At 37.2% G+C, this 12,221-nt stretch overlaps 1 protein-coding gene across 4 annotated transcripts in view; it reads right to left on the bottom strand.

The window, feature by feature from the left end:
- NELL1 (neural EGFL like 1) overlaps positions 1-12,221 on the bottom strand; it is a 906,136-nt gene that overhangs the window by 300,844 nt on the left and 593,071 nt on the right. The gene's annotated exons all lie outside the window — the stretch shown is intronic.

Here is a 12,221-nt window from a genome sequence, read left to right as displayed (position 1 = left end):
CAAGAACATCTTTATTTCTGCCTTCATTTCGTTACGTACCCAGTAGTCATTCAGGAACAGGTTGTTCAGTTTCCATGTAGTTGAGCGGTTTTGAGTGAGTTTCTTAATCCTGAGTTCTAGTTTGATTGCACTGTGGCCTGAGAGACAGTTTGTTATAATTTTTGTTCTTTTACATTCGCTGAGGAGTGCTTTACTTCCAACTAAGTGGTCAATTTTGGAATAAGTGCAATGTGGTGTTGAGACGAATGTATATTCTGTTGATTTGGGGTGGAAAGTTCTGTAGATGTCTATTAGGTCCGCTTGGTGCAGAGCTGAGTTCAATTCGTGGATATCGTTGTTAATTTTCTGTCTTGTTGATCTGTCTAATGTTGACAGTGGGGTGTTAAAGTCTCCCATTGTTATTGTGTGGGAGTCTAAGTCTCTTTGTAGGTCTCTAAGGACTTGCTTTGTGAATCTGGGTGCTCCTGTATTGGGTGCATATATATTTAGGATAGTTAGCTCTTCTTGTTGAATTGATCCTTTTACCATTATGTAATGGACTTGTCTCTTTTGATCTTTCTTGGTTTAAAGTCTGTTTTATCAGAGACTAGGATTGCAACCCCTGCTTTTTTTTGTTTTCCATTTGATTGGTAGATCTTCCTCCATCCTTTTATTTTGAGCCTATGTGTGTCTCTGCACGTGAGATGGGTTTCCTGAATACAGCACACTGATGGGTCTGGACTCTTTATCCAATTTGCCAGTCTGAGTCTTTTAATTGGAGCATTTAGTCCATTTACATTTAAGGTTAATATCGTTATGTGTGAATTTGATCCTGTCATTATGATGTTAGCTGGTTATTTTGCTCGTTAGTTGATGCAGTTTCTTCCTAGCCTCGATAGTCTTTACAATTTGGCATGTTTTTGCAGTGGCTGGTACTGGTTGTTCCTTTCTATGTTTAGTGCTTCCTTCAGGAGCTCTTTCAGGGCAGGCCTGGTGGTGACAAAATCTCTCAGCATTTGCTTGTCTGTAAAGGATTTTATTTCTCCTTCACTTATGAAGCTTAGTTTGGCTGGATATGAAATTCTGGGTTGAAAATTCTTTTCTTTAAGAATGTTGAATATTGGCCCCACTCTCCTCTGGCTTGTAGAGTTTCTGCCGAGAGATCAGCTGTTAGTCTGATGGGTTTCCCTTTGTGGGTAACCCGACCTTTCTCTCTGGCTGCCCTTAACATTTTTTCCTTCATTTCAACTTTGGTGAATCTGACAATTGTGTGTCTTGGAGTTGCTCTTCTCGAGGAGCATCTTTGTGGTGTTCTCTGTCTTTCCTGAATTTGAATGTTGGCCTGCCTTGCTAGATTGGGGAAGTTCTCCTGGATAATACCCTGCAAAGTGTTTTCCAACTTGGTTCCTTTCTCCCTGTCACTTTCAGATACACCAATCAGACGTAGATTTGGTCTTTTCACATAGTCCCATATTTCTTGGAGGCTTTGTTCGTTTCTTTTTATTCTTTTTTCTTTAAACTTCTCTTCTCGCTTCATTTCATTTATCTCATCTTCCATCACTGATACCCTTTCTTGCAGTTGACTGAATCAGCTACTGAGGCTTGTGCATTCATCACGTAGTTCGCATGCCTTGGTTTTCAGCTCCATCAGGTCCTTTAAGGACTTCTCTGTATTGGTTATTCTAGTTAGCCATTCGTCTAATTTTTTTTCAAGATTTTTAACTTCTTTGCCATGGGTTTGAACTTCCTCCTGTAGCTCGGAGTAGTTTGATCGTCTGAAGCCTTCTTCTCTCAACTCGTCAAAGTCATTCTCCGTCCAGCTTTGTTCCATTGCTGGTGAGGAGCTGCATTCCTTTGGAGGAGAAGAGGTGCTCTACTTTTTAGAGTTTCCAGTTTTTCTGCTCTGTTTTTTCCCCATCTTTGTGGTTTTATCTACCTTTGGTCTTTGATGATGGTGACGTACAGATGGGTTTTTGGTGTGGATGTCCTTTCTGTTTGTTAGTTTTCCTTCTAACAGTCAGGAACCTCAGCTGCAGGTCTGTTGGAGTTTGCTGGAGGTCCCCTCCAGGCCCTCTTTGCCTGAGTATCAGCAGTGGAGGCTGCAGAACAGCAGATATTGGTGAACAGCAGATGTTGCTGCCTGATCGTTCCTCTGGAAGTTTTGTGTGAGAGGAGTACCAGGCCGTGTGAGGTGTCAGTCTGCCCCTACTTGGGGGTGCCTCCCAGTTAGGCTACTCGGGTGTCAGAGACCCACTTGAGGAGGCAGTCTGTCCATTCTCAGATGTCCAGCTGCGTGCTGGGAGAACCACTACTCTCTTCAAGGCTGTCAGACAGGGACATTTAAGTCTGCAGAGGATTCTGCTGACTTTTCTTTGGCTGTGCCTTGCCCCTAGAGGTAGAGTCTACAGAGGCAGGCAGGCCTCCTTGAGCTGCGGTGGGCTCCACCCAGTTCGAGCTTCCCAGCTGCTTTGTTTATCTACTCAAGCCTTGGCAATGGCAGGCGCCCCCTCCCCCGGCCTCACTGCTGCCTTGCAGTTTGATCTCAGACTGCTGTGCTAGCAATGAGTGAGACTCCATGGGCGTAGGGCCCTCCGAGCCAGGGGTGGGATATAATCTCCTGGTGTGCCATTTGCTAAGACTGTTGGAAAAGTGCAGTATTAGGGTGGGAGTGACCTGATTTTCCAGGTGCTGTCTGTCACCCCTTTCTTTGACTAGGAAAGGGAATTCCCTGACCCCTTGCGCTTCCTGGGTGAGGCGATGCCTTGCCCTGCTTCGGCTCATGCTCGGTGCACTGCACCCACTGTCCTGCACCCACTTTCCGACACTCCCCAGTGAGATGAACCCAGTACCTCAGTTGGAAATGCAGAAATCACCCATCTTCTGCATCGCTCATGCTGGGAACTGTGGACTGGAGCTGTTCCTATTCAGCCATCTTGGCTCCACACTGTCAAATGCTTTTTCTGCATCTATTGTTATGATCATGTGATTTTTCTTCTTTAGCCTTTTGATGTGCTGAACACATCAATTCAAATGATTTTCAAATGTTGAACCAGTCTTGCCTTACCTGGGATAATATACACCGCCTGGTTATGGTGTATTTTTTTAAATAACTGTCGGAGTCAATTCACTAATATTTTGTTGAGAATTTTTGCATCTATGTTCATGAGAAATACCAGGCTATAGTTTTCTTTTCTTGTGATGTTTTTGTCTGGTTTTAGTATTAGAGTAATGTTGGCCTCACAAAGAATTTGGAAGTATTCCCAATGCTTCTGTATTCTGGAAGAGATTGTGGAGAATTTGTATAATTTCTTTCATAAATGTTTGGTAGAATTCACCAGTGAACCCATCTGGGCCTGGTGCTTCTGTTTGAAACTGTTATTAATTATTGGTTCAATTTCTGTAATAGATATAGGCCTATTCAGATAATCTATGTCTTCTTCTGTGAGAATTATCTTTCAAGAAATTGGTTCATTTTACATAGGTTATCAAATTTTGGGCATAGAGAGTTGTTCATAATATTGCTGTATAACCTTTTAATGTCCATGAGACTACAGTGATATCCTCTTTTTCATTACTGATATTAGTGATTTGTCTTCCTTCTTTTTTGTCTTAGCCTGACTGGAGGTTCATCAATTTTGTTGATCTTTTCAAAGAACTAGGTTTTATTTTTGTTAATTTTCTCTATTGATTTCCTGTTTTCAATTTCATTGATTTTGGCACTAATTTTTATTATATGTTTTCTCCTGCTTATTTTGGATCTAATTTTTTTCTAGTTTCCTAAGGTGGAAGCTTGGATCATTACTCTCCAATCTTTCTTTTGTTCTAATATGTGCATTCAATGCTAAGCACAGCCTTCCCTGCAAATTTTGAAAAATTTTATCTTATTTTTATTTAGTTTAAAATATTTTTAATTTCTTTTGAGATTTCTGTTTTGACCCATAGGTTACTTAAAAGTGTGTTGTTTAATCCCCAATAATTTTGGAGTTCTCCAGCTGTTATTGATTTCCATTTTAATTCTATTGTGGCATGAATGCAGATATTGTATGATAATTTCTGTTCTTTTAAATGTGCTAAGGTCTGCTTTATGACCCAGAACATGGTTTATTTTGATGAATGTTCCATGTGAGCTTGAGAAGAATGTGTGTTGTGCTGTCACTGAATGATGTAGTTCATAGATGTCAATTATATCCAGTTGATTAATGTGGTATTATTGCTATGTCCTTAAGAATTTTCTGCCAGCAGACTCTGTTTATTTCAGAAAGAGGAGTGTCTAATTGTCAAACTATATTAGTGAATTCATCTGTTTCTCTTTCTAGTTTGGTCAGTTTTTACTCATGTATTTTGAGGTTCTCATGTTAGGCACATACACAAAAAGATTGTGTATATCTTTTTGGAGAATTAACCCTTTTAAAATTATGTAATGCCCATTTATCCCTGATAATTTTTCTTGCTTTGAAGTCTGTTGTGTCAGAAATTAATATAGCTATTCTGATTTCATTTTAGTATTAGCATGATATATATTTCTTCTTCCATTTGCTTTTAATCTGTATATTTTTTAATAAAGTGAGTATTTTGTAGACAGCACGTAGTTGGGTCTTGTCTTTTGATCCACTCTGATATTCTGTATCTTTTAATTGGTATATTTAGACCACTGATTGTTGACACAAGTGACACTACTATATTTATTACTGCTTTCTTTTCACTACCTGTGTCCTTGCTTCTATTTTAGTCTTCCAATCTTTGTCTTCTTTTTGAGGTTTTCATTAATCATTTTATGATATTCTATTTTTCTTTTTTCTTAGCATAGCAATATACTTTTTTTTAAACAAAAAGCGATTGCCACAGAGTTTTCAATATACATTTATAATTAATCCCAGCATACCCTTAGATAATACTATACTACTTCATAGAGAGTACAAGAACCTTATGATAACAAAAGAAGCCTAATTCTCTCTCCCATCACTGTATCATTGCTGTCATTCATTTCACTTTTATATAAGAGTATATAATCGAATACATTGTTGCTATGATTTTGAACAAACTGTTATCTGTTAGATCAATTAATGATAAGGGAAAAGTTTTAATTTTAATTTTGCTAATTCTTTCGCTGATGCTCTTTCTTTCTTTATGTAGATCCATGATTTGAACTATATGATTTTCCTCTTCTATGAAGACCTTCAACATTTCTTGTAAGGTAGGTCTGCTTGGCACAAAACCCTCAATTTTTGTTGTCTGAAAATGGCTTTATGTCTCCTCTACTTTTGAAGGATAATTTCACTGGGTGCAGCATTCTAAGTTGCTTTTTTTCCCTCAACACTTACATATTTCATACCTTTCTCTTCTTGTTTGCATGATTTCTAAGAAATCAGTGGTAATTCTCTTTGGTCTTCTAGGTAAGAATTTTTTTTTCTCCTGAATTTCTTCAAGAATTTTTATCTTTGGTTTTCTGCAGTTCGAATAGGATATGCCTCTGTGTGTGTGTGTGTGAGAGAGAGAGAGAGAGAGAGAGAGAGGGATTTGGCAATTTGGCATTTATCCTGCTTGGTTTTCTCTGAGCTTCCTGAATACATGGTTTGTTGTCTGACATTAATGTTAGAAAATTCTCAGTCATTATTGTTTCCCATATTCCTATTGTTTCTTTTTGTTTTCTTCTTCTGATATTCCCACTATATGCATTTACACATTCTATGGTGGTCCCACAGTTCTTTGGCTTTTTGTTTTGTTTTGTTTTTTTCTCAGTTTTCTTTTTCTTTGTTTTTCCATTTTAGAAGTTTCCATTAATATATCTTCAAGCTCAGAGATTTTTTTTCCTCAGCCATGTAAAGTTTACTAATTAGCACAAAAAAGGCATTTTTCATGTCTGCTACAGATTTTTTCTTCTGTAGCATTTCTTTTCAATCCTTTCTTAGAATTTCCATCTCTCTGATTACATTGACCATCTGTTCTTACATTCTGTCTACTTTATCCATTAGAATCCTTTTCATGTTAACCATACCTGTTTTAAATTCCAGGTCTACTCCCAATATTCCTGCCACATCTGAGTCTGGTTTTTATACTTGCTCTATGTTTTAAAACTGTGCTTTCTCCTTTTAGTATCCCTTGCCATTTTTTCTTGATAACCAGACATGACATGATGTATTATGTAAAAGGGACTGTAATAAACAGACCTTTTGTAATGTGGTGGGAAGTTGTTGAGGGGTTAGCATTCTATATGATTAGGTCTCATTCTTTCATTAAGACTGTGCCTCTGAACTATGAATTTCACAAGTGCTTCTCCATCTCCACCCCACAAGACTCAGGTGGGACAGGTTGGTTAGAGTGGGCTGGAGCTGTGAATTTTTCTTCCCCCATGTGGAAGGCTAGGAGGTGGCTGGAGTTGGGTATTTCCTTTCCCCTAGATTGGGTAGGCTCTGATAAAAACCCCTACAGTTCAGGCTGTGCTAAATAAAATAGTTCCTCTTAAAGGCAGGTTTTGTTAAGAACAGAATGCTCTGGCATATGTCCACATGGTTTCTTCTCTTCTCCTCCTGCCAGAAGCATAGGGGAATTTTTCATTCTTAGAAGCTGGTCAAGCTCCTGGATGTAAAGCTCACAAAAGTGTGAGGGCCTCTCTATCGCCATCCTCCGACCCTATGGAGTTTTAAACACTCACATTAGTCTATAAGCCTAAAGCAATTAATCAGTTATATTTCAGGTTTCCCTACCCTGGTCCTGGTTCCCACATAAGTTTCAGTTTGGAGTTTTTCTTCCTTAAGTTCTTTGTTTCTGCCTGTCTGTCTTTCCAGTTTGGGGGGCAGCAGTTTTCCCTGTGACCTAACTTCACTAAATTTTCTAACTAAAAGACAAAGGATGGCTAAATAGATTAAAAACAAGACCTAACTATATGCTGTCTATGAGAAACTCACTTCACCTATAATGACACACATTTACTGAAAGTGAAGGAATGGAGAAAATCATTTCATGCAAATGAAAACCAAAACAGAGCAGGAGGAGCTACATTTATATCAGATAAAATAAACTTTAAGTCAGAAACTGGTAGGACATCCACATAAAGATGCCCAGTAGGTGGCTTAATAAATGACTGCAGCCCTGGATAAGTTATTGTGGGTGATGATATCGATTCAAGAGTCATCAACATATGGACAAGAGTTAAATACAAAAGAGTATATAAAATAGCCTAGAGCAGAGGTTTTCAACTTTTCTTCTGCTATGACAGATGTGAATGACATTCATATGAGACACACTCCCAGGAACATACTCAGACTGTAATGAAAACCAAACACACACACTTACAAACAAAAGTAGTTGGCCAAATAAAGCAAAGAACTCCCAAACTGTTTTTATAGATCATACTCGCAAAAGCATTTTACTACCAAAGGATCAGTAAAATCACATATTTAATTATCTTAAAACATCATTTCTTGGAGAGAAAAAAATGCATATATGGTTAATCTAACATAAAAACTATTTTGAACTATATTTTGAAGACTAAATTCAAACCCCCACAGGTAATACAAGGAAATAAAAATGTATTACTAGTAATTTTTAAATTATCATTTTATCATTAAAAAGTATAGTGAGTAGTATTTCTATTTATTCATGATATTATTATAAGTAACATTATTGCACACACTATTTGAATGATCACTTTGTCTTTGATTTGGAGATTGTAAGGACAGCCTCATTCTCATTTCTATACCATGAGGATGTAGATGCATATACATTTTCTTCATCTCTCTTTGTTATTAAAAATGTGCCCATGGATAAATCAAGAAAAGAAACATACCTATAAATCCACAGTTTATAGACTATAATATTTCAAAATTGTTATAACTCTTAATGACACATCAATAATCATAGTTCATGGATGTTTTCAGCAAATATAAAATAGGCTAAGAATTATGAGAAATTCACTTACAGCTAACTCTAATTCCATGTTTTCACACACAAGTAGGTACACACTATTGAAAAATAAATGCATAAGTGTGACATTCTTATAATGGTAAATTTGAGGTGAGTCTAATTAATTAAAAATTTAAAATTTTCACAAATCCTTATAACAATTCTTATGAGTGAGTAGTTTTGACACGTGCTATAACTGATCGTGATCCTGTAATGTGTCATGCCACTAAGATCAAGAGGACTAGGCTAGGAAGAGGACTGTAGAGAAAGCACAGAAAAATGATGATGACAAAACCGGGGACCACCAATATTTAAACTGTCAAAAGAAGATGACAAGATAATTAGCTGGAATGTAGAAAAAGAGAGAGAGAAGGGTGTCACAGAAGCCAAGAGAAGTGCAACATTCAAAGGATAAAGGGTCAACGTGTCAAAATCCTGTTGAAAGGTAAGTAAAGTTAGAAATGGCAATGATGGAGTCATTGATAAGCTTCATGGGCCCACGTAGATTACTGGTTAAAAGCATGAGCTGCAGAGCCAAATGTCTGCCATGTGCAACCTCTGTAGCCTGTGCAAGGTTCCTGATATCTTTTGGAGCTTATATTCAAGTGGGAACAAATAGCAGAGAGTAAAAATAGGTAGATAGATGATTGATGGACAGACAAGCAACACACAAGTGAACATTTTAATGTCAGGGAAAAAAATACTATGAAACAAATATAAAACCTACTGCCTTCACAGAGGTTACATTCTAAGCCGAGTTAAAAAAAAAATACCTAAATGGAATGCGAACTGCCAGTTCATGCTAAATGGTTCCAGAGTGACCTCACTGGGTTGTGGAAGTGCATAGATGAACTGACTGCGTATCTGGACTAGGAGGGTTAGGGAATCATCCAATCTTAAGGAGGGGCTAGTAGCAGGTAAGTGCAGAGGAAGGGAGAGGATTTTTGACACAGAGGCAAAACTGAAAGGTCTGTGGGGTACACTAAGCATTCCTGTTTGGCTGAAAGGAAGGATTTATGTAGAAAAATATTGACCAAAAAATAGGGAAAGTAAATTGGGGTCAGAGGGTAGAGGGCCTTGAATGAAAAACTAAGAATTTGTAGAATACCCTTAGCGTGGTACACAGACATTAAAGAATTTCTGAAATAAAAATACAAGGCTCAGAAAGATACTACCTTAAAAAGGAAAATATGAACTTCAGAAAAGAGAGAGAGACAGTAAAGTTTTAAGAACCCAAGACTATTTTATACCAAAGATTTGCCTTAATGCAAACAGAAACTTTAAAACATGCACACAGACACACATACTCTTCAAGAAAGCTCTTGAGACTTATTGGATGTTGTCCTAGAGAACCAATGATTATAAACATTGTTTTATTTACTTTTTTTTCTAAAAAGAATCAATACAGAGATACTTAATTTGTTCCATTTTCTCTATTGCACAATTAATGCAATTTCTCACCTGTCATGCCATCACTATTTAATAACCACAGAAGAGCTGACAGATGGCAGAAAACTGTGGAGAGCCAGATTTAAAGGATTCTAGAAATGTCCTTGCTGTTTTCCAAAAGAGAATACACATTATATAATACCAAATCCACTGTAGCCCTTGTTTGAGGAAGTGATACCCCTATTTTTACACTAAGAAGAGCCTTCTGAATATAGTTTTTATTTAGTAAAAGAAAAACATCTTCCTTTGCAAAGAAAGTATTAAGGAGGGGGTGAATAGTTCACATTATTCATGCTGAATTTTTTTGGTTTTTGGCTGAAATAGAGGTGTTTATAGTCTACTCACGAAAGTGATGTTTAAGCAGCAAAAGTTAGCCTTTCTTGAAAAGATGACAGGTGAAGACTCAAGATTACAGGTAAATTAGAAATTGGAAACAGCTTATCTTTTATCTTCCCTTCTAACTAAACATTACAGCCACATGAACAACTCTATTAAATACTTTTCTATTACCTAAGGCCTTTACTATGCCACTCTAAATTATCTTTCTCCCTATCTAGGAGGATTGTGTCCTTCCAAGAACTATTCATATGTTTTATTATTATTTTTCTTCAACTGCTCTCTATTTTGGAGGCTTTCTTTTTAAATAGGATAAAGCAAGAGAATCTCTTTGTGCTAATAATGAAAGGATACATGAGTCAATGAAGTGCTCTCTGGTAAAAGTATCTGTTTTAGTTCAACACACGCACGCACACACACACACACTCCACAACTGTTGTCACCAGCTCAGGCAACCATACACTGAGTTTTCCCCAAAAGTCTCTATTTCAATTAGCCCCAAATTCATAGTCTGCTATAAGGTACACTCCACATTTGTTAAACCACTGTGACCCAATTCCTATAGTAAGGTTATTATAATAACTAAAAGATCTAGAAATTAGTGGGGGCTTTCAGAAGCCAGATATTTTAGCCAAGTAGTTTAGCCCTGGTCAATATTACAAAGTAGATATAATTGTACAAACTATACATATCTGAAAATATTCTCAAAAAGATTCCCTCCAGCCTTCCCATCTCCTGCTGGCAAATGTTCTTCCTTCATTCCAGATACAACATGGCCTCCACTGGGCACCATATTCAAGGCTTGTGCAGGATGACACTTTATCTCCATCTGCAAAATGCAACTACAAGACAGCTGTTATTCTAATCACTTCATAGATAAGGAAAGTGAGATGCCAAAAAGATTAATAACTCAAAGTCAGCAGAAGATTCAATCTCGGTCTCTTCCTCCTAAGCCTGTGCTCTTTTTCCCTATATCATGCTGCTTTTCTTCTCCTGTGCTTTTATATGTCTCTAGGTGCTACATTCCCCCTCCCACCCCTATTCCTAAGGAGGGAAGGATGAGACAGACAGACACACAAACACACACACACACACACACACACACCCCATTGTAGACTTTCAGACATCTAACAGAGAAGCTGGTAATTAGGCAAAACAAAAAAATTCTCTATAAACAAGTTTCCAAATAAACATGGTTGGCTAAATGCACATAATTTCATCTGCTCCTTCTTGAAATTTCATTAAAGTTATATATTTAAGAGCTTTTTTTCCATTTTTTAAGGATTATATACCTATAAAGGCTGTGAGAATTGTAACTCAACAAAATTTTGAAAACTTAGAAGCAGATGAAGGAGTGATGACTGCTTTCTCAGATCTGAAAAAGCTGAATTCAAACACTCAGTGAGAAAAGCCAAGAAACAATTTGTTTTGCACCATGGGATTTAAGAGGCTCAGGAATTAACACCACCAGATACTTCTGACAATGGCAGCTAAATATAGGATGAAAGTCTCCTTAAAAACTAGGTATACACCTGGTTCCTCTTCCCATTCTGCCCAGTTAGATGACTGCCTCTCCACCAGCCTAGAAAAAGATGGGAGATTTATTTTCTGCACTATGGAACACCACACACAACTGAATGCAGATTCCATATTGAATACCGGGAAATCAGTGAAAGTGTATATGGCAATCAGAATGCTGAAAGATGGCTTTTATTGCCTGGGCAGGAATTTTGAAGAATATTTTCTAAGGAAACAAACAAACTAAAAATACTTAAATTGACAATCAGGTGTTTCCTGAGAGAATGAATGGCTCGCCGTTACCCCACATTGAATTTAATCATTAACAATCACATCTCCAGTTGCACAGAGCTTTCGATTAGTGTTTTATTGCAGAGCTCTTAAGTATGAGTGGAAAGCCGGGTTAAACATTTGAGGGAGGCTTCTAACATAAAAGACAAAAGCCACAGCAAATTTGTAGACAAACCCAAGAAGAAGGATGTGAGAACTCCATTAACAGAACACTTCATTATCACTATCCCTTGATTACTCACCATGATTAATGTCCTAAGAGTGAAAGGACACCATGTTCATGAAACAGAGTATGCTATGAGAAAACACAGGAAGAGAAAAAGCAGTCTTGAAACATAAAAGAGGACAACAGAAATGAAAAGGGTTACAAGATAAAGTGAACGAAGTCTCCAGATATTAGAAGAAAATGACAAATATATGTAAAATAAGAAGACAAGTATAAAAATTGAAAAATCAGAAAGTCCAGCATCAAAATAACAGGAAAGCTAGAAAAAGAAAGAGAAGACCAAGGAAAAAGGAGTAAGAGTACAGGAGAAGTCACCAAAGATATCATGTCAGAACATTTACAGACTTAAATGTTATGAATATCTAGATTGAAAAAGTCCACTGAGTGACCAACAGGATGAAGAAAATGTATACCAATATCATCATGAAATTTAAAACAATGGATTTCAAAACCAAAGATAAAAAGTCAGAATAGCATTGGGCTTCTCAAATTCCATACAGGAACCTAGGATACAATGGAA

The sequence above is a fragment of the Homo sapiens genome, chromosome 11 (genome assembly GCF_000001405.40).
Source record: "Homo sapiens chromosome 11, GRCh38.p14 Primary Assembly".
NCBI lineage: Eukaryota > Metazoa > Chordata > Mammalia > Primates > Hominidae > Homo > Homo sapiens.
The sequence above is the reverse complement of the archived record's forward strand: the minus strand, read 5'-3'. Positions and strand labels throughout refer to the sequence as shown.